Source organism: Homo sapiens, chromosome 6 (genome assembly GCF_000001405.40).
Source record: "Homo sapiens chromosome 6, GRCh38.p14 Primary Assembly".
In the NCBI taxonomy this organism is placed as follows: domain Eukaryota; kingdom Metazoa; phylum Chordata; class Mammalia; order Primates; family Hominidae; genus Homo; species Homo sapiens.
In genome coordinates, this window is record NC_000006.12 from 146,951,712 (window position 1) to 146,976,077 (window position 24,366).

The window sequence follows — 24,366 nt, forward strand, 5'->3', positions numbered from 1 at the left end:
ATTAAAATTTATTTTTAACTTGCTATTTTTGCATTATCTGCCCTAATCATTTCCTCATAACACTAAATAATCTCTAAAACTCAATTTTAATAGCTGCTTATTATTTCATTATTCATGCATTGCAATTATTTTAAATAACCCTACAGTATGGACATACAGATCAAGTCCAATCTTCAAAAAATAAAGCAATGCATAACTTTACTCCCAAACCTTCTTGAATAGCTCTAATAATTACATTAAAATATATTTCTTAATCAAAAGATAAAGATACTTTACAGTTTTTGATATATATAATTAAACCTCTAAAAAGCTGATAATAATTTATAATTTTGCCATCTCTTTTATCATTCTCTTCAAACACTGAGCATTAAACTGTATGAACATTTACTAATTTGAAGGGCAGGCAATGCTATCTTATTGCATTTTAATTTGCACTTCTTTGGTTACTAGTGAGGTTAGAGATTCTTATGTTTATAAATTATTATATTTCTTTTGTAACTGCTCTTCAAACTATCTTTTTTCTAGTGGGATATTTATCTTTTTCAATAATTCATTTGTTCATTCAACACATTTATATTGAGTGTTTATAATGTGCCAGACAGTGGGCTAGATTGAGGAAAAAGAACATGTGGAGGTGGGGGGAGGCCTGAGAGACAGATAGCTTATTGGTTTCTGCCTTTATGGAAAATTATATTCATTTTCTCATTAATTTACAAAATCTATGTGTTAAAGAGATCTTTTTATTTTATGTACGGCAGCTATTGTTTTATGAAACTTCAGGGAGAAATCATCTATGATTTTTGGAAGGGGTGGATATATACTTTATCCCAAAAATATCCAGCTATTTTTTCATTTGTTTATATTTTTACTCTTTTTGAGTCAATTTTTCATTTGTATTGTATTTTGATAAAGGACATGAGGTTTTAGAATTAATTATTCTCTGAATGGTAATTAATTCTTGCCGTACCATGTATTAATGATGTGTCATTTTGTCATTGTTTAGCAACTCATATTTATCATATAGTAACATTTCATAAACATCAGGCTCTAGGCTTTCTATTCTGTTCCATTGTTCTGTCTTTTCTTAGGTCAATGTCACAGTCTTCATTAAAATTTTATTATATGTTTTAATATATGACAATGGAAATCCTGATTTAAAAAAAATATTGGCTGTTTTCACTATTTTTTCTTTTTTTTTTAAATCCAGGATCACTTTAAGACCAAACAAACCAAAAATTTCCCTTTAGCATTTTGATTGAAATTGCTCTGAGTTCCCTCATCTGTCAGATGAGGTTTCACTCACCTCTATTCCCAGTTGCTAAGCAATTCCTCCTAATTATCTTTTACTCCACAGTCCCTTAACATAAAGTCCTCACCTTACAGGACCACATTAAGCAGATCTGCCAGCTCAGGTCATCTGTCTGAAACTCTGCCTCATAAACCAGGAGAGATGTAGACCAAAGAGGAAGTTACATAGAGGTCAAAAAAGAAAAAATGAAGACTGAGTTTCAAGTCAAAATTTGAGGTCCAAATTAGCAGTGTGAGTAGGTTTAAATATCAGGGTACATAAAAATCTATTTAAATTCTTTCCTTTTTATTGGTTAAAATAATACAAAGCATTTGTATATGTTTTATTGCAAATAAAAAGTGCTTCAGGTATTTTATAATTATTAACAGATTTGTTGGCTAGCTTCGTCCAATATAGCATTGTTCCAGAGAACAGAAATGTGTTTTCTAACATTCTTATTTGAAATTAATTATAAGAGATGCATTGGGTTCAGGTGGCCATCTCCTGTGGCTTTTCACTATGGACATCCATGTAAGCTTTAGTTCTTCCTGGATTCTCTGCTAGTCCACACTGCTCTTGTTCTAGCTTTCTCACCTGCTGTATTTGCCACTTACTTTAGTCATCTTTGCATACCTGCTTACCAAAGACTAGGCTTAAGTACAGGATCACAAGCAAGTATATGTATAGCTGCCTTGGAAAAATTAATAATAAAGTGGTTTGAGTTTTCCAGAGAGTATCAGCAGATAGGAAACCATCTTCACTTCCTATGAACCTGGATAAAACAGGATATTAGATTGCTACATTTATCCAGTTATAAGCCATAACAGCTTGCTTAAAACTTTTTTCAATTTATTCCAAACAACACAACTCACAAAAAGCCATGGAATCCATTAAGTATTCATCTTTTTCCCTCTTGGCACTTAAAAATAGGCCAAATTTCTTACTCAAAGTTCCAAAGAAGCTTTACATACACGTTTGTTTTGTTTTCAAGAACTGGGTTGAAGCATATCAGGTACCACTTAGGTAAAGAATTCAAATTAATTCCAATGGAAAACAAAGGCCTGCACAATCCCTCTGTGGAGTACAGGACAAAGGCCCTGAGACCTGAGTGAGAGCAAGAATTCTGCCCAGCCATGTGAACAGGCAAATGCTCAATGAGTCCTTCTATGTGATGCTATGTACCGTACGTTATATGTATTGATCTCAATTGTATCCCTCTTTTTTTTTTTTTTGAGACAGAGTCTCGCTCTGTCACCCAGGCTGGAGTGCAGTGGCGCGATCTCCACTCGCTGCAAGCTCCGTCTCCCAGATTCAGCCATTCTGCTCAGCCTCCTAAGTAGCTGGGACTACAGGCACCCACCACCACGCCCGGCTAATTTTTTGTATTTTTTAGTAGAGACGAGGTTTCACCATGTTAGCCAGGATGGTCTCGATCTCCTCACCTCATCCTAGCAACTCTGCCCCTTTGCTCATCAGCAATGAGGCTAGCATTTGAAGGCTCCTCTGCAAGAGTTGAAGGACTACCCCAGGGTCTCTGTATATTTCCCTGGAAGCTCTTACAGTAGCACCAGGAAACCTAGCCCCATCCCAGAAGAATCATTACACTAGGGATCCTTCCCTGGGTGTCAGGGCTTGAATATGCCCCTTTCATGGCTCTGAGAGGCCCTTTGCAAATGCCATTGCTGAAAAGATGTGTGTAAGAACTGAAGTTTCTCTGGGAATAGTGCACCCACAGACTCACAAGGGGCCAAGTCCAGAAAAACAGCATGAACCCTGGAGGCATTGGACACCAGGCCTATAGACGCAGCTGGCGTTGGTCAATGGGTTTTCAATTCCGAGTAGGTCTTTTTCAAAATTCCCTTTTCCAGACCTTTTGAAATACATTATTGTTTTCTCCAATTTCAAGTAGAAATTACTCTGTAACTGGATATAATTTCATTTATATGTAAATGGTATTATATTTTCATTTATGTTTCAATTGAAGCTGAAAAAATTTACTATGTCTGGCTGATTAAAAACTAAGAGATTGGGTGGAATGAGTCTTCTTTCATAGACCAAAGATGGAATTCTAAATTATATTTATACTTTGCCATTTAATGGCATGATAGAGTTTTCTTGCTCAGCAAATTTTTAGTCTCTTTTCCTCATTAAAAGCTCTTGAACTCATTATCTCATATTTTCTATTTTCTCATCTCATATTGATAGAATCATCACACATTTTCTCCATGAATTCAGGAGACTGCTCTTTTCAGAACAGACATATTTAATGTAAACTGTACCTGGACTTCATGGAGACATTTACTTTTGATATTGCTTTACTTACGTTAAAAATAATTTTAAAAGTTTTTAATTTTCCCTGGATCTTTTTCATGGAACATTCTCATTCCCCTGGTGTGATATTACAGTAGAAATTGACAAACCTGAATAACATGGAGACTCCAGTGGTTCTGTGTACAGAGTCATGCAATTAAAATAGTTATAGCATGGTTTGATTAAGCAGATACTCAGGAACATATGATTAAGTTAAACCCTTTTATGCAATGAATTAATTTAAAATTGGTGACTTGAGTTTAATGTTAATATAAGCAGTCTAATTAACTTTTACAATAAGTAAAAATATATCCAGAAGTTTATCTGGATCTCACAAGCAAAAATAATATTTACATAGTTTTTGTGATATTGCCAAGCACCTTATGTGTACTTCTCCATTAATCCTTACAACTTTAGATTAGATACCATTATCCCCATTTCACAGATGAAGCAGCTGAGGTACAGGAAGGTTAAGTAATTGGCCCTAAGTTACATAACTAGCAGTGCAAAGTCAGGTTTCAAACTCATGTCACTTGACTCCAAACTCACATTATTAACCAGTGTGCAGTAATGCCCCTAAAGCTTTTTCCAGGTAGTGTCCCATCCAAGTGTTGACCAAGAGTTGCCCTTGCTAAACTTGTACTGCCAGATGAGTTAGGACTAATTTACAGAGCTATGCAAGATGGAATCCACAGAAAGTCTCACAGTAACACCCTAAGCTGCTTCTTGCTTATAATGTAACTGACAGAGAGAAAGTTCTGATTTAAGATTGCCAGATTTAGCAAATAAAAAATGCAAGATACCCAGGTAAATCTGAATTACAAGTAAACCTAAATTTTAACATAATTTTTAAAAATACATAGTCCAATGCAATATTTTAGACATACTTAGACTAAGAAATTATTTGTGGTTTACCTGAAATTCAAATTTCACTGAGTGTCTTATATTTTATCTGGCAACACTATCCTGGGTTGAGTTCATTCTCAAATGTTGTCCACTGAACTAGAAGAGAACACCCATGTGAAAATTTGGCTTTCCCATCTTGTGCCAAATGCCAGGGTGGCCCCAAGAATTATTCAGATTCCAGAGTCACCTGTGGCTTGTGATGTGGTCACGGCCCTACATCACCACTCCTCCCAAGCCAACCACCTCCTCAGGCCCAGTGCACTGAGCAGTGTGAATTAATGAGTTGAGTTACCAGAAACCCCTCTTTCCAAAAGGTTTAATTAATCTCTTTATATGTCCATTGAAGCCTGAGTCACAGAGGGTAGAGTATTCGGATGACAAAGTGTCAGCAAGCATTGTCACAAACTCCCAGTGGTCATTCTTACTCCCACTGTATCCTGGTCTCTAATCCAAAATTTATGAAAACATTCAAAACTTCATGTTGAAAAAAGAAATGTCCTTCTTATTCTACTGCTTTCTGGGTGTTCATTCTCAGTCATAATATGTAAAGACCAGATGAACAAGGTCTTTGAACACCTGAGGACAGAATTTGGTCTTGAATGCTTTGTATCTGACAGTCTTTAAGCTTACACTGGGGATGAGGCCAAAATGCATGATTCCATGTGAAATTAGTGGGTAAGCTTCCCATTACAGAGTTCACAGTGGTCTTGAAAAATATTGTCCTTTGAGGTATGCCAAGTCAAAATCATGCAAAGTGTTATTTAATTGATGCATTGAGTTTAAAAGCAGCCAACTCTATTTGCTTTCTGGGTGTTCATTCTCAGTCATAATATGTAAAGACCAGATGAGCAAGGTCTTTGAACACCTGAGGACAGAATTTGGTCTTGAATGTTTTGTATCTGACGGCCTTTAAGCTTACACTGGGGATGAGGCCAAAATGCATGATTCCATGTGAAATTAGTGGGTGAGCTTCCCATTACAGAGTTCACAGTGGCCTTGGAAAATATTGTCCTTTGAGGTATGCCAAGTCAAAATCATGCAGTGTTATTTAATTGATGCATTGAGTTTAAAAGCAGCCAACTCTATCATATTAGCCCTGTGTTGCTCACATCAGCAAGTGCTCAATAAATAACTTGTTGACTGATTGACTGAGGGGATATTGGAAAAACGTACTGAATAATTCTCTTTGCTACATGACCAGATGTCCTCTGTAAGGGTGAACACAGCAGGGCACAGCAAAAAAAAAAAAAAAAAAAAAAAAAAGCAATCAGAGGAGCTGCTGAAAATTATTCAGTGAGAGCAAAAAACAAGAGAAACACATTATCTGCATTTCATGCTGGATGCATAAGCATTTGAAATGGAGTTGTCACAGCAGTAAGAATAGAGAAAACTGCCCAGGACTGGGAGTTTAGAGACTTGAATTTTGGCCCTCTGCCAATAACCACACGTGAGGCCTTAGGATAGTTAATTTATATTCTTTCTGGAAGTTTGTCTAAATGTTTTCTAAGGTCACTTCCATTCTGTAATTTTCTAATTTTTCTTCTGACTTAGGTTTTCATGCATTTAAGCATCAGAAAATATTAGCCTTCGGACTCTTCTCAAGTATTGATTTGTTGCTTTTATTCCTCAGCTTTTCTAAGCAGATTACGTGGTTGAAAAATGTGCTATCAATTCCTTATGAATATCCTAGCCCTAAGGGAGTTCAGCTAATTAGGTTAATCAGCATAGCCCTAGTGCTGTTATACAATCAACCTTTCTTATATTCATTCATTCTTTTATTCAGTGAATATAAAAATTTTAGCCAGTACACAGTTAATATTTATTTAGAACCCACTACATGCTACTGAACCAGGCGTTGGTGAGAAGTTCCCTACTCTCAAAGGGCTTATAGTCTAGTTAGAGAAACAGGAACGTAAACAGAGAATTTCAACCAATTGCGTTAAGTGCCATAACAGAGGAGTTGGCAAAGAGTTGTGGCAGTCTAGAGGGAAGGTGGCCATGTCCTAACTAAACCAATCGGGAGAGTCCTGGTATATCAGGTTGCAAGAAGAAGTATTCCAAGCAAAAACGATGAGGTTATTCTCCAATAATACATACAACTAATATAGGCTTTATTGGAAAGGGAAGCTAAAGAGGCCAGGTTTGATAGTTTAAAAATCCCAGAAGGAAAAGAGAAATGAGGAATGGAAATAGAAAACAATCATCAAAATGTATAAAATAAGTATGTGTGTTTGTGGGGCAAATGTTTGTTGAATGGAGGTTAAGAACGGAGTACTTCCCTGTGGAAAATCATAGTAAACAGCACACACAGCACCCTGATCTTCCACAGGCAGATCTCTGTAGCAACACATTCTGTCACAGCATCAACCAAAGACAATGTATTGAGTTTCTCATTTTCCCTGCTACTAGTTCATCACAGGCTTACTTTTCATTGACCTCAAACTAAAGTGGCCCTCGCTTCCCCAGTAAGTACTCTCCACTGTGTAATCCTGTTGATTACAACTTGAAAGCACCTTGTCTATCCATCTATTTACTGGCTTTGGACTTGGAAAAAAATACGGTTCCTTCCTGAGGTGAAACCATTTGACTTCATGTTTCCAACCTTGAATAAAGGGTTAATTTCTTGTGGGTCCCAAACCTGTCAGTGCCTAGGGACAGTGTTTGGCATATCAAAGTCTGAAATCTCACATCAGTGTCTTGGATCAAGAACCATATTTTCTCCATATATGGCACTAACCTTCACAACCTCATATTTCCAGTGGCCTTGTGACCCTTCAGTCAAAAATGGTAGAATTTATTTCATATTTGTATTACATTTTTTACATTAAAAAGCACTAAAATTGGCTCCTAAATCCTAAAGAAACTTATCTCTTTCTCTACTAGAATGAGTTAAGGTGCTGGAATAGAAACAGATGGAAAAAAGAGATATAATTAGGAATGAGAAGAAATTGCGGCTCTCTTATTTGTATGGCATGGTTCCTTTCACTGAGTATAATATATGAGCTTCAGTGTAATGTGGTCATCAATTTTAATTTTGCCAGCCTTTCATTTGATGGTTGCTGCCATTCCCATCTTAATCTTCAAAGGGCATGGCCAGGATAATTATCACAGCTACCAGATCTTTCCCCTGTAATGTCACTGAATCTTATCAACCTATTTTCCTTGAAACTTGGGATCACAGGTAGAGAGTTACTGTACTCACTCTGACAATCACATTTCTCCAAAAGCACAGATTTTAGAAGGATCAAAATTGCAATCACATATTCTGTTATATAACTCATTTCAGACAAATATTCTTTTCTAGTCCACATTTAAATGGTTATAGCCCGTAGGATTGCATGACTTTGCCTTTGCTTAGTCAAAGCGAGCTTTATATTTTCAATTGAGACATAAGAAAACATTCTCAAACTTAGCCATTTTATTAAAAAAATCTCACCGATGCTTACATGTTTCTCCTTTAAACAACTGTCTCATATGCATATAAAAGTCAGAAATTTCCTTTTTTCCTTTAAGGTTGAACTTTTCACAGTGCACACAAGACAAGTTAATGCAGGAATTAGTAGTTAGTGATAACATTCATGAATAAATGTGATTCTAGTCAGTTTTTTAGTTTAAGAAAGGTGTTTTTAACACGAATCTATCTGGGTGGTTTTGCTAAATTACCAAGTTCAGCCAGTGGATATTTACAGTTTCAGAGTCCACTTGACATTCCCCAAGAAATACAAAGTCAAGGCATTTTATTTTAAATTGGGCTGGTGGTAATTTCCTTTTCTCTAAAATTTGAAGAAATTTACATAGTGTCTAAATATAACTTTATCATCTGCAAAATGACTTCCCCTTGGGATGGCAAAAGACACAAGTGACTCCAACCGTTATTCCAATGAAGTTATGAGGGAAAACTGTGCAAACTGAGTTCTTGGTTTCTAACAGTAAAGTTGAAGCTAAACAGACAAAATTTCTATATTAGCACTCTTGCTGGCTAATTTTCACTTCACTCATTATTTACAAGCCACTGTTTTTCTCAACTAATTAAGTTACTCATGTAACTCTTAATGGTTCTCATATATATATAAACATATGCATTGCATCATTTGTACTTCTGAGATGAATTCATTAGCAATTAATAACTGTACAAAATCCTCACCTAAATTCATACTCCTGTGAATGTACTTGACGACACATGCCACACAGTTCAGTTCTTTTTAAACATGCTCAGATACATGCACACATACACTAGGAGTTTATAAATAACAATAATTATTATAAATAATGGCATTCGGCATGATAACCAATTATCTTCTGAATAATCAGTGTCCATTAATATTCTCACAGATTATTGTGTTTACAAATCACTGAAGACTAACATAATTGCAATATTCAGAACAGTAAGTTCATAGCATGAGTCCCCAACTAAAATGTTAAGCCTCACAAGTAAGGAATGGTTATTTCTGCTCACCACTGCATCCCCAACACATAGAACAGCGCCTGGATTATAGAAGAGGTCTTTACAAAATATGCATTCATTGTTAAAAAATGAATGAATAAATTATCTAGAAATAAGTGTGAGATTATTTTCCTCCTTCTTAAGTTAATAGCAAAGCAATATAAAGATGGATATATTTTGGATCAAGAGAAAACGTCAATTAGGCCTACACAGTAGCTAGATGGGCAGGATTTAAAGAAAATACTTCTGAACTCTTTTACACCATTGGTGATAATGTAAATTAGTACAGCCTCTATGGAAAAAGGTATGGAGATTTCTCAAATAAAAATAGAACTACCATTTGATCTAGCAATTCCACTACTCGGTATCTAACCAAGGGAAAAGAAATCAATATATCAAAAAGACACCTGCAATTGCATGTGTATTGCAGTGCTATTCACAATAGCAAAGATACAGAATCAACCTAAGTGTTCATCAGTGGATGAATAGATAAACAGAATGTGGTGTATATACACAATGGAATAGTATTCAGCCATAACTGGATGAAATCATGTTGTTTGCAGCAACATGGATGGAACTGGAGGTCATTATCTTAAATGAAACAAGCCAGGCACAGCAAGACAAACATTGCGTGTCCTCACTCATAAGTAGGAGCTAAAAAAATTTGTTCACGTGGATGTAGAGAGTGGAGTGATAGACACTGGAGACTCAGAAGGGTAAGGGGTTGGTGGGAGGATGAAGATAAGTTGTTAATGGGTACAATGTGTTTTACTCAGATGATGGATACCCTACATACTCTGACTTTAACCACTATAAAATCTATGCATGTAATAAAATTGCACATGTACCTCTTAAAGTTGAATACAAAAAAAAATTAAGTGAACACATCCCCTTTATAGAAGAATCTGTAATTACCTAAATGTTGAAAAATCCCAATGATGTGCAGTCACTGAAAAACCTTACATACAGCAAGTTGCATTAACCAAGGAGACCATTTTGTGTGAATTTACACAAGGGCAGAAATGAGTCCAGGAAGGACATGAAACCCTGCATCTGAGGACAATATGTTTATCTACTTAGATCTAATGATCACAGACATCCCCTTGATTAGAAATGGGGAAAAGCATGCAGTATGCCTGGTCCATGGGAAAATATATTCCCCAGGCAGGGTTAACACTTGGCCAGCTATGCATCGGATCCATTACAATGGTGACACCACATTTTCTCTATTATGCTGAAAACTTGTGAGTGCTATTGTCTTTTTTGTTGGGTGTAATCAATATTAAGACAAGATGATGGAAACATGGGGCATGTTCTAACAAGACAACTTCCTATCCAAGTAGTTTATGATACAAAACAAAGAACTAGATGTTCCTGTTTATCCTGCTTACCTGTAGCCTGGCCTAAGTCAGAAGTGTAGGTGAGGCTGACTCTGGAGGTCTGAGCTAACTCTCTAATACATGGCCCTTCTCATTTTATAGGCCCTGCTCTAAGACTCTTGCTCAGAGTTTTGATTTGCTAATAAGAAGTTGTTCTAAATGGGTAAGGTCCACCTTTCCAATTTTTTTATTAAATCAGATAATGTCTGCTTGTGGACTCAAAAATTATGATCCATCACTACTAAAGATTCCTACTACATCTTAGAACATAAAGGCAAATGGGTAGGAAAGAAAAGAAAAATAATGATAAGCAAAGCTAAATAAAATGGAAAAAAAGCCAGAGATTTCACACCTTTGGGGTTTTTCCATCCTCCAAGCTATTTTTTCTTGCTAACTCTGCCATCTATTCATGGATGTTGTGTTGTTGTCTGTCTGGGTGATTTACACAGTGCTGGTCATGCTGCCAGCTCTAGCGTCATCTTCCCTTTGAAGCACAGCCAGAAGGATGTCACTGGAAATGCTGAATTACTGTACATGAAAGACACAAAGGGAAGTATGAACTGGGACATCCAGTCTAGAAGAGGGAAGGCTAAAGAGAAGGTATGTAATGGTATTCAGACAGGTGCAAATGCCTGCCAGGCCTGCTGAACTCTGTGTTGAGTCAAGACTGAACTACGCAGAAACCTGACAATTTTATTGATGAACATGACTTTAGAATTTAATCTGACCTAACATCCTCACTTTACAGCTAAGACATTGATGTTTGAGATACATCCCTAGTGGGGCTAACCTACAAAGGAAATCAATGCACTGAACTAATCTGATAATCCACAGCTAACCTGCAAAGGAGATCAATGCACTGAGGTCATGGCTGAACTGACACTTTCTAGGTCTATTTTCCATTATGCAAGATGACTTTAGGTGGTACAAAAGCAGAGTATATTTTTAAAGTTATGTAATTCTTTTTATATATATTCTTAAAAATAACATGACCACATAAATTTAGTGATATAAAATTTCCTGTAAGTAAAAATAAGCAAATCCAAGTGCCAAAAACAAATGGCTCTCTTAGAAATGTGGTCTAATGGCTTTGATCTTTATTGCACCATCTCAACCACCTCATCAGAAGTACAGTGAGGGTGAGGTGGATGCAACTGGAGCTTTTATGAGAGATCAACAATGGGGGAGCTTTTCCTATCATCAGAGATTTTATTTTCAAGAGAAATCAGGTTAGTCACTAAGGTTATGGGAATTTCTCTGGGTATGTCCCTGGAAAAGATTAAATCCAGTCTTCCTTGAAACTATGAGAAATGAGATGAACTCTTCACATGGTATCCACATCCATAAGCATCTGTGACTATTTAGAAAGTGTAAAAACTGACAATGCCCCCAAAACAATAGCAATATATTTAATACCTAAAATTTATTATGTGGCAAACAAGTCAGGCATAAGTTAAGACCTCAGATTATCTCAAATATTTATCACTGCTTTGGAGTTGGGTACCAGTGAAACAGGAAAGGAATAAATTTTGAAATAATCCAGGTTGGCTTTAATTTGGGGAGTGATTTTTATCATTAGTATTTCTATAAACTATGTGGACCAACATTCCCTCTAAGTCAATGGAAGTTTTAAACTACTATATTTCAACATTGAGTCCCAGCTGTTTTGTGGTTAGAATGCATAGAAGAACAGGTTCATCAGAATTAGGTCTTGTTTCTTTCACCAAAGCTAAGCTCAATCTAGATACAGGTAGTTGTGGCATATTTGGAGACATGGCTCTACAAGAAAACCAACTAAATGGACTGCTTCCTACCACTGAGGGTGGAAAGAAACCTGGTAAATTTGGACCATTCCATTTTATGGCAGCTGTAGTGTCTGTACTACATTCTTAAACCAATCTTTTTCTTCAGATGAAGAGATGCAATGGTGACATTCTGCTTAAGATTCCTCCCTGAGAACTCTTTAAGCTTGGTCAAATTAAATGACTACTTCTTATAAAACAGTATTTGATGGCTGATTTTCATGAGTGAATACAGAACTTTGATTTTTTGCAGTCCTGAGATTGATAATGGGTCTCAGGAGATTTTCAGGTACTCTCAGAATAAGACTATTGGTATGGATTGGACCTGAGTCCCCACCCAAAACTCGTGTCAAATTGTAATCCCCAACATTGGAGATGGGGCCTAGTGGGAGTTGATTGTATCATGGGGATGGATTTTTCCCCTTGGTACTATCCTCACAATAGTGAGTGAGTTCTCCAGGGATCTGGTCATTTAAAAGTGTATAGCACCTCCCCTTTCTCTCTCCCTTGCTCCTGCTCCAGCCAGGTAAGACATGCCTGTTCCCCTTCACCTTCTGCCATGATTATGTTTCCTGAGCTTCCCTTCACTTTCTACAATGATTATAAGTTTTCTGAGGCCTCTTCAGAAGCAAAACCCACTCTACTTCCTGTACAGCCTGCAGAACTGTGAGCCAATTAAACCTCTTTTGTTTATACATTGCCAAGTCTCAGGTATCTCTTTATAGCAGTATGAATACAGACTAATACAGAAAATCAGTACCAAGGAGTGGGACATTGCTATAAAGATACTTGAAAATGTGAAAGCAGCTTTGGAATTGGGTAACTGAATGATGTTGGAAGAATTTGGAGGGCTCAGAAGAAGAGAGGAAGCTGAGGGAAAGTCTGGAACTTCCTAGAGAGTTGTTGAATGGTGGTGACCAAAATAGTAACAGTGATATGGAAAATGAAGCCCAGGCTGAGGAGGTCTCAGATGGAAATGGGGAACTTATTGGGAACTGGAGTAAAGGTACTCTTGTTATGCTTTAGCAAAGCACCTGGCTGCATTGTGCCCCTGCTCTGGGGATCTGTGGAACTTTGAACTTAAGAGTGATGATTTGGGGTATCTTGTTGAAAAAATTTCTAAGAAGCAAAGCATTCAAGTATAGCCTGGCTGCATCTAACAGCATACATTCATATGTGTGAGCAAAAAAAAAAAAACAAAACAAAACAAAACAAAAAACCTAAAACTGAAACATATTTAAAAGGGAAGCAGAGCATAAATGTGTTCGGAAAATTTGCAGCCTGGCCATGTGGTAGGAAAAAAAAAAAGTCCATTTTCAGGGTGGAATTTAATCAGGCTGCAGAAAGTTGCATAAGAAAAAAGGAGCCAAGTGTTAATATTCAAGGAAATGGGGAAAAGGTCTCAAAGGCATTTCAGAGTCCTTTGCAGAAGCCCTTCCCATCACAGGCTGGGAGGCCTAGGAGGACAGAATGGTTTTGTGGGCCAGACCCAGGCCTCCACTGTCCTGCATACCCTTGGAACACTGCTGCCTGCATCCTGGCTGCTCCAGCTACAACCATGGCTCCAAAGGGCCCACATACTCAGGCTGCTGCTTCAAAGGGTGCAAGCCATAAGCCTTGGCAGCTTCCATGTGGTGTTAAGCCTGTGGGTGCATAGAATCCAAAAATTGAGACTTGGGAGCTTCTGCCTAGATTTCAGAAGATGTATGGAAAAGCTTGGATGTCCAGCCTGCTGCAGGAGCAGAGGCTTTAGAAAGAGCCTCTACCGGGGTAATGCAGAGGAGAAATGTGGGGTTGGAGGTCCCACACAGAATCCCCACTGGGGCACTGCCTAGTGGAGCTGAGTACAAAGGGTCACCATCCTCCAGACCTCAGAATGGTAGATTCACTGACAGCTTTCACTGTGCCTGAAAAAGCCACAGGCACTGAATAGCACTTAAGAGCAGCTTCAGGGCTGAACCCTGCAAAGCCACAGAGACAGAGCTGCCCAAGGCTCTGGGAGCCCACCCCTTTCACCAGTGTGCCCTGGATGTGAGACATGGAATCAAAGGAGACTATTTTGGAGCTTTAAAATTTAATGACTGCCCTCCTGGGGTTTCAGATTGCATAAGGCCTGTAACCCCTTTATTTTGGCTGATTTCTCCCTTTTGGAATGGGGGTATTTACCAAATGCCTGTACCCTCATTGTATCTTGGAAGTAACTAACTTGTTTTTGATTTTACAGGCTCATAGGCAGAAGGGACTTGCCTTGTCTCAGAAGAGAGTTTTGACTTTGGAGTTAATGATGAAATGAGCTAAGATTTCGGGAAACTGAGAAGGTAAGATTGTATTTTGAAATATGAGAAAGACATGAGATTTGGGAGGGGCCAGAGGTTGGATGATATGGTTTGGATCTGTGTCTCTGTCCAAATCTCATGTCGAATTGCAATCCTCAATGTTGGAGGTGGGACCTGGTGGAAGGAGATTGGATCGTGGGGGCAGATTTCCCCTACCATATTGTCCTCACAACAGTAAGTTCTTCTGAAATCTGGTCATTTAAAAGTGTGTAGCACTCTCTCTCACTCTCTCTCTGTCTCTCTCTCTCTCACCATGTAAGATGTGCCTGCTTCCCCTTTGCCTTCCACTATGAGTGTTTGTTTCCTGAGGCCTCCCCAGAGCAGAAGGTGCTATGCTTCCTGCACAGCCCATAGAACCATGAACCAATTAAAACTCTTTTCTTTATACATTACCCAGTCTCAGGTATTTCTTTATAGCAGTGTGCAGAATAAACTAATACAACTATCAAAATCCAAAAGTTCCTATATGGTCAATTCTCAAGAAAAACAGTTGCTTTTTAAGATTTATTCCAAGTCTCCTGACATAAGATATGCTGTCATACTATTTTTTTTAATCCTCCCACCTCAGCCCCTCAAGTAGCTAGGATTAGAGGTGTACACCATACCACCATGCCTGGCTAATTTCTTAAGTTTTGGTAGAGATGAGGTTGCACTATGTTGCCCAGGCTGGTCTCAAACTCCTGGGCTCAAGGAATTCTCCTCACTCAGCCTCTCAAAGTGCTGGCATTACAGGAATGAGCCACTGTGCTGACCTTGTCTTTTATTTCTTTGACTTGACACTAGTTGACATAGTTATGCACATAGACTCCAATTCTGCCTATGAATTTTATCTGTTGGGATCTTATATCCACAGTTTCTGAATACTGGAATGCTGTAATTTTTAATTCTTTGGTGATCTCTTTCAGTCCTGTGGCTTTAACTACCAACTACATATTGTCAGCTGGCAGTTATTTGCCCAGCCAGACCTCTTTCTTGAAACACAGACCTATATGCAATTGTTCATGTCACATTTATACATGTATATCAGACATCTCAAATTAACATGGCCAATAAAATGGCCAATATCCATCATCAAACCTGCTCTCCCTGAAGTCATCTCCATCTCAGTTAGTAGCAACTCCATTCTTCCAAATTATAAAACCCAAATCTGTGGTTTTATCTTTGAATCATTTCTCTTACATCCTGAATTCAATTTTTCAGCAAATCCTACCGGCTTTGTCTTCAAAATATATCCAGAATCTGAAAACTTTTCACATTTATTGCTGGCAGGCTAGTCTGTGTCTCTGTTATCCCTTGCCTGGATTATTCCTATAACCTCCCATTTAGATCCCTTGCTTTGCTCCTTATACCTTATGATATTTTCTTACTCTACAGAACTCAGAATAATCCTTTCAGATATACGATTCTCTTTGCCTCAATCTCTTTAATGATTTTCCATGTCATTCAAAGTAATATTCAAAAATCCTGCCATGGTCTAGAAGGTTCTACATTATCTATCTACAAACTCTGCCCCCAACAGTTCTTCTCTGTCCTGTGACTCTAATCATTGCTGGGTTCCAGACATGACAGAGTATAAGGAAGGAGAGGAGAAATAAATAGATCAGAATCACAGTTAAAGTGTTTAGATTCTGTGAGGTTTTCCCCTCAAGAAAAGGATTTGCCTGGCTCATTTGTTTTGACGGGGTAAGCTTGGTTGTGAAGAAAGCAACACAGCTTCCAGCCACAGCAACCATTCACACTTTGCCTCCTACCAGGACAAAGACTGGTTGCTTTCATCTTTTGCATTGCAGAATGCTAATGCCATAACTAACACATAGTAAGAAAATTTAAAAATGTTCATTAAGTGTTACATTGCTAGAGAACACATAGTTCTTTTAATATTATCGGCAAATAGTTTGAAAAATATCACAAAAGGCATCTTTATCAATTAATGATATACCATACTTAATATTGGCTTTCATTACACTCATGCTATATACGAATGCTTTCACTAACAACTCAACATTCCCAGTGCTGTTAGTAGTTTAAGGTTTCTCCGCAATGCCAGGACATTCGATGCCAACATATGTGAGTAGTTTAGTGACTTCATTTCTAGGCTTCATGCCAAGAATTTCTGGATAGGAAACATTCTCAATATGTCCCTTATTTGTGCAGCACCTATACTTTATGTCTTTGAATTTATAAGTAGCTTATTGGTAAAAATTTCTAAGCCTGGGCATCTATACCTTAACAGATTTCCAAGAATTTATTATTTCCCATACTCTATTGACTCAAAAGAGAATTCTTTCCTGCATGTTAAAAATATTATTTGTGTAAATAGCTACTCCTTTAATTTCTGTGACATGAAGTTATGCAAGCTTTTGACTAGAAACTTCCCCTAAGGCAATTCAAATGTCAGATTGAGGAGCATATTAGGGAGTTTCAGCATGAAATATCATATCCAATGTGATCCAGCATCAAGTCATCTAAGAAGCAATAGTAATGGAATGGTATTTGAAAAGGTGGTGCAGTTGTGGAATAGCATAAACATCTATCATTTTATCAGAATATAAAAGTCTCTTTATAAATTTTAACCTCCAATCATCACTGAATGGTAATGGTCAATGGGGTACCTGCAATATCTTAACAGTTTCATAAAAATAGCCACAGTTTGAGAATGGTCTGTATGTAAAGATTTTATGATATATATTTAGGTCCTCAAGACTAACAAGAACATATGCTTTGTTTGTCTTTCTTATTTCTCTCTTTTTTTTTTTTTTTGAGACGCAGTCTCGCTCTGTCGCCCAGGCTGGAGGGCAGTGGCGCGATCTCGGCTCACTGCAAACTCCGCCTCTCGGGTTTACGCCATTCTCCTGCCTCAGCCTCCCGCGTAGCTGTGACTACAGGCGCCTGCCACCACGCCCGGCTATTTTTTTTTGTATTTTTAGTACAGACGGAGTTTCACCGTGTTATCCAGCATGGTCTCAATCTCCTGACCTCGTGATCCGCCCGCCTCGGCCTGTTTTTCTTATTTTTCATGTGCTACTAATTTATTTTCTTCCAGGTAAAATAAAATGAATGCAAGGAAGCTAAATGGATAATCTGACACTTTTCAAAAAGCCCTCAAAATGGCCATTTTTATCACAGCTTCCATCCGTACCATTCCTTGCATATATTATTTTCTCTGTTTCTAATACTTTTGCATCTTGTCCAGAGAATTTCTATGTGTTCAAGGATTAGCTCAGGTGACAATCATTCTCCTGCCTTCTCTGAGGAATCGCCCATTGCAGCCAGCACTAGAGAATCAATCTGCCTTTTCCTTTAAGTTTTCCAAACTTAAAGAATCTCTCATATTTTTGGGTAATATCCATCCATACCTTTCCTATTTGACTGTGACCCTCTGGATGCCAGAGACTATATCTTATTTACTTCCAAATTCTCAATGCAAAGCAAATCAAATATTAAGCAATATTTGGGATTTGAAGGAGTGAAAGCAGCTAACATTGTAATGTCTTTAGATCAGTTACTTAAACAAAGCTTTTCTTTCTCCCACAGAATCTATCCTCTGCATTCCTGAATCTCAAGTAAAATATCATTGCGTCCTTAGCTGAAGTCAGAATGCCTCAGCCGATGAGCATGTCATGCTCACTGTGCATTTTCTGGCATCTGGACTGATACTGTTGTCCAGAATTCTCTACATGTGGATTGTGAAGAGCATTTATAGCAGAAGCTGTCTTACCAACGTTAGTAACAAAGTACCTTTCCTCAAAGTGGAATCATCCTACCTGTTCTTACCTAGAGTTCCTCAAGCAAAATCTCATCCTCATTGAGACATGCAGAAAACATAAAGGAATCATAAGCAGCCCCTTTCCCACCTATTATTTTAAATGACAAAACTACCTTGAACCAACACTATTCAAATCACTGCTGTCCTCAAGTTAAGGCAACTCTTCAGGTGACCAAAGAAGCTTGACCAACCACCATGCTCCCAGAACATACAGCCTCTAAAGCATTTCTTTTATAAGCATTTATCACAAAGGGCTAAAACACTGAAAGAATGGCACTGACTTGAAAAGGAGTGAAAATGAGTCTAACAGGTACAGATGCTAATTTCACTAACCTCAAGAGCATTACATAATTTCAACAAATAAACATGCATAGTAACATGATTCCTTGATTTGGTATCCCTGCTCCATTGGAATTATTTGTAGAGGCCACTAAAACAAGTATTTTGGCAATAGAAAGGAACAGTGGCAATGGCTTCAAAACGCCTACAGCAGGAAGCAGAGAGGGGATCTCTGAGTCACGCTTCAAACTGTAGATTCGTTTTGTTGATGTGGCTCTTGCGTTATGTTATAATTCTATTAGATTTGCTGGGAAGGAGAATACTGAATTTGGGGATGGGTCTTCATATGCTGATACTTATCACCACTGACACTTGAGTGATTTAACACGTTGGAAATTAAGTCTGTGTTTCAAACCCTCTACACTGTGGAACTAAGTGTTCTCAGCTTGTTCTGTTTTTGCCTTTGGACCATTTCATTTTGAAGACACACTTGAAGATGATAGCATTAATTTAGCTAACAATATTCATTTTGTTTTCATTAGTTGTTTTTGTAGTTTCATATTTTGATGCATGATCTGATAAATGCATAATACCCAGAGGGTGCCTCTGTTTGTATTAATAACAGGAACTCATCCACACCTCATCAATGATAGAACAGTTTAGCTTCCCTGTTAAAGGAGCATGAATCAGAGATGTTCATGAGAAAAGGAATATTTGTAATGCAGAAGGAAACTACTGGGAGAGTGGGGATGAAGTGAGCAGGGGGGACAAGTAAACTCTGAAGTGCAAGGCATTGCTTGGGGTTAATAGCTGTGTATTCTCTAAACACCTCAGTGACTTGGGCAAGTTACTAAAGCCCTCTAAATCTCAGTATTACTATCTTGAAAGTGAGTGAGAGTCAGTTTTATCATTAAAAAATTATTCTATAATTGTATACTTATATACATTGAAATTATAATTTTATAAGCTAATTTGTTGAGCAATGATGATCCTTGTGATTCCTTAACAGAAAATTGTATAAGCAAGGATTATGTAACACAGGCAATTTTTGGAGTCATTAAGTAATAATAATAACTACCATTTATTGGATGATTATGGTGGGAATTATGTTTTCCAAATGCATGTTATATGATTAAATTATCACCACCATGGTCTTAGATGGGTATTTCATCCCTGCTTTAAAAATTAATATTTTTATTTTCAAATGGTTTCACGTAACCTTTCACACAACTATTAAATGGCAGAACCAAAAATCAAATCCAGGACTCTCAGACTTTCCAACACATGCATTTATCTACGTGACCTCTAAGTTAAATTCCAAAGCAGTTGTATTTATAAAGTTTCATCTTTCAAGTGCACACTGCAATCACGTTTACCTCTATGCAACAAAAGTGACACACCGTTTTGTTGTCAGCATGAATGTTTATGATATAAAGATTCCCTGCTATCCTACTCTATACAACTGATAAAGCAAGTCAAAAAACATGTAGCTTTACAAATAAAGGCTTTGGGCAATATTCTAAGAATGAAAGAATAAGTATTTGAATTCATTTTGCCAGTAATTTATGAGTGGGCTTAGAATGCCTGTATGCAGAAAAAATTATTTATACTTCTGTTATTATCTTTAGCATATTAAATGAAATCATCTTTACCTGTTTGCTTTCCTTATTAGATTTGATATTTCTGAAAATAAGGAAGCCTTACTTATCTTTAAATTCCCAGTATATAACACAATGTTATATAAAGAATATACAATAAACATTGACTATATATAACTTAATTAATAAGCATTTTCCCAAATCTAATTTATTCTGAAAATTTACCTCAGTATCTCTTCTTTTGTGGGTCTCTGAAAGACAAAAGTTAAAAAGTAGATATTTAATTTTGTTCAAGTGGGAAGGGAAAAGCCGAGACAGAAAAACAAACTGAATATTGAAAGTGTGGTTAAGCATCCACACTAAGGAGGAAAGAGTGCTATCAGCATATACTAGATTCAACCAATAAGACAGGTAGCCTGGAAAATACTTCTAAAAATGCGTATATTCTTTATCTGATATAATTTGTAGGAGAAAAATTCTAATAGTATTTTCTAACAGTGACTTATATTGGCTTCAAGTACTTTACCCAACTATACCAAAGGGGAACGTGAAAAGTTAATATTTTAGACATTCTTAAGATCCAGATGACCCATGGAGAACTGAGCCAAGCAGCAGCTAAAGGAATTTGGTGCTAGAAGACAGAATCAAGTAATTTGGTCTTAAATTTTGGCATGAAATCATAAAGATGTGAAAAGACACTAGCATTAAGAGCTCTGTGGCCTAAGTAGCATCTTTTCCCTTGGTGGTCCTCAGGGGCAGGTAGAGCATCTTGCTCGCATTCTCCTTATCCTCCTTACTTATCAGAAGCCTAAATAATATCCCAATGTAGTCATTCGTATGGAAAAGAAATCTGTAATTACCCCAGGATAGACGTCTCATATATTTAGAGAATATATCCACGTCAGTGGCCATGAGTCATACCAAATCAATGGTCATCACTTTTTAACCATGCTCTTAAAATGATGTACAAAAATAGCCACTTTACTTAAATCCCCATTGAGTCCTTTTGTTGTCTTTGAATGCTGATTCAGACGGATTATTTAGGGTTTAAAATCTTCAATGCCTTATCTCCTAGTCTTTCTCTTATTGTTTTGAATGGAATAAAAAGGAAATCTGCGTCATATTGCCAGGGACTCATATTAACATGAACCATCTTCTTTTCTATATAAATGTTTCTTTTATTAAAAAGGAGAATAAAATCACACTCTTTTCTGCACAATGGGAATTTTGGGTTGGTGCAAAATTGATTGCAGTTTTGCCATTTAATGGCAATCAATCTTGCACCAACATAATAATACTCAATAGTGATTTTTGCATGCAATAATTTCATTTTAAGTGGTAGTGAAATCATTAGCTAAAGTGACTGTCCTTGTATTCCTTCTGTTTTCACTGTGTCATGAAATAGGCTGTGTACTTGATGGTGTCTGAGCTTGTGAAAATCAATGAACAAAACTTTTGTGGTTTCCCTTCAGTTTCTCCCTGCCCCAGATCCTTTCTCCACCCTCTGATGCCTTTCTCTGTGCTCCACATTGACCCGTGTTCACGGCACCGGCCAGGCCCACTTCTGGCTATTTCCTATGGGTCCAGCCCATGGGAGGCTCTGGCATGAGATTGGATAAAGCAGGGGAGCAATAGGCTGGGGAATTATTCCCCTCTCCGTCCCTGCTGTGGGGCAGTGCTGCTCCACAACCAGAGCTTCTGCTTCACAGCTCCTTTGCACCAATCAGTTCTCAGATTCTAGGACCACCATTTTCCCCTGCTCCCCTTTGGGCTAGTGGGTAGTATCAGCAATGTACTATTGCTCCTTTCTGAGTATCCTAATATCCTTTCTGTTTCCTCAGCCCATAAGTAATTCCTTCATTAAACTCTCTTCATTGGTATGGATTCTGTTTCTCACTAGGCCTCACGGATACAATTGTGAACTTGATAGTAGAGCAACTTAAACCTTTCCATTCCAATCCCTTAACTCTGTTGAAGTGTCTACAAAAACATAACCTTTCTTCTCTTGGTATAATTGAGGCTGGAATGAAACAGTTCAACAATAATGTTGGGTTTCTGTAGCCAGAAGGGATGTTTAACCCTGGTAATCAGGAAGCATGGTAGTGTTCACAAATTCTGTACACTGAAGAACCACTTCCCTTGGGACCCACTCTGGAGCCACCCTTCTTGCCAAAAGGAATGCGGTATCATACCTTTTCTTATTTCAGGGAAAGCAGAGACTAGATACAGCAGTACTCACACAGCTCTTAGCCATATGGGCATTTGAGGCAAAATTAAAAGACAGTAACGCTGATCCCATCTTGATTTAAATTTTTTATATTTTTTAAACTGAGGATTTTTTGCATTAATTTTAATTGTAAGTATATTATGTTAAAATTGATTTGTCTTGATTACCGAGATTTGGATGTCCCCTTCCTTTTGTACCCAAGGTGTCTCACTATCCTCCCCCTAGTCAAGTTCCTCTTAGAGGGAGACAGAACATTTAAACCTCTCTCAAATTGAAAGGGAGCCACAGCTAGGTTATGGTGAGTGATTAAAGATGTGAGCTTGGAATTTAGACAGGCCTAACTCTGAATATTAATCCCACCACTTACTGGCTGTTGCCTTGGGCAAGGTTCTTAAGGTCTGTCTCTAAGCCTCCGCTTCCTCCATTGCAAGATGAAGATAATAATGTAGGTAAACAAATGTAATCTGCATTGCAATGTCCAAAATGTTCTTAGAGCCAAAAGACTTTTGGCACAAAAGCATTTGGCACGTTTGGCATACGTTTGACACAAAAGCATCTGGTAGCAGATCCTGACTGAACTAAGATAAGTCAATTCATAGCCTTTATTTATTCCTCTTATAAAGTGATTATTTATGGGGTGCTGCCTCAGACCCCCCTGGAGGTGGTACAAATTAAATATATGGTACATGCACTACACAGCTTGACTGAAATCTGAAAGCTCTGAATTGAAAAATTCATATGACCCTGAGGGTTTGGGATAATTATTGTGAACCATTAATAGCTCTTCCCAGGGATTCAATGAGATGATGCGTGAGAGCCAGGGCACTTGGTGAATGGAAAATTGAGTCTTTCCCAGGACCCTGAAAATCTGAAAGCAGAGATTTGATTCTGGGACATCCAGGCCCTGACACTGCTTACTCCCCTGCTGAAGATGAGATGTTGCAGACCCTGAACTGGGTTCAAGAGGCAAATAGGTTGTTAGACAATTCCATCTAGAAAATGATGGACACCCTGAATATCAAAGGGCAGTGCCATGTCAAGAAAGACCCTTTTGTGCACCTTGAATGGACAGAGCCTCTGGAAGCTGTGGGCTCCTGTTAGATTTTGGGGGCAGCCCAGGAAGCTATGCTGAGATTCGCAGCATCTGGTCTTCTCCTGTGTAGCTACCTCCCTTCTGATTAGGTTTGCATCCTTGGCTAATTAGATCAGGACCCTAATCTAACCTTGCAGTACGTGTGTGTGTGTGCTGGGTGAGGGGGGTCTCTTCCTGTCAATCTGTGACCCGGCTGAAGCACTGCAGTGCTCAATAAACATTGTCCATTAATGTCATTTTAATCATTATGAGTTGCTAACTGGCAACAGGCATTTTTCAGAATTGAAGCTTTCTTAGAAATCAGTTGACTTACAGTATCATCTTTGAGCAATTGCAGATGCAGAGACTAAAAATTTCACAGTAATCATGAATAAAGCTTGATTGAAGAAAGTGAAAATGTCATCCCAGTCTGGGGCGGGATATGAACTGTATCAGCAGAACATGAATGATGAAGAGATATCTAGACTGGACCATAACAGAGACAATTCCCTTAATGATACATGACTAAAGACTTTACCAATTTCCAGTAAGAGTTGGAAGTCCATCTCAAAGTCTACTTTATGTTCTTCAGAGTTCCTTGTTTTTAATTTTGCCTGAATAACTTGAGAGAATAGTATAGAGTTTTTATTCCACAGCATGGGTTTAGACATCTCATTTTTTAATTGTCTGTTCACTGTCTTCGGAAATAGTTTTAGATAATTAATCTGATCACAGCCTCCCTCTGTAATTTCAATCAGAACCTGGTGCCTAGAATGGGAAAGCAGACTGGAGCCACTCTTGACTGTAGCCTTGAATCTGGGGAAGCTACCATGGTAGGAGAGCCAATGGCTGAATATACCGGCATTGGGCTTGCTGATATTAATGAAGAGTGTGTATACCCCCATAGTTCCCTGACAAGATGGGCAAAGAAGAAAATCACTTGACTTCCTGTGTCTCAG

General features: G+C 37.8%; 1 long non-coding RNA gene across 1 annotated transcript in view; it reads right to left on the minus strand.

The window, feature by feature from the left end:
• The window catches only part of STXBP5-AS1 (STXBP5 antisense RNA 1), a 363,227-nt gene that overhangs the window by 110,324 nt on the left and 228,537 nt on the right, over positions 1-24,366 (minus strand). The window contains exon 7 of the long non-coding RNA NR_034115.1: positions 20,334-20,359. This is a non-coding gene — a long non-coding RNA (STXBP5 antisense RNA 1). The remainder of the gene's footprint in view (positions 1-20,333; positions 20,360-24,366) is intronic.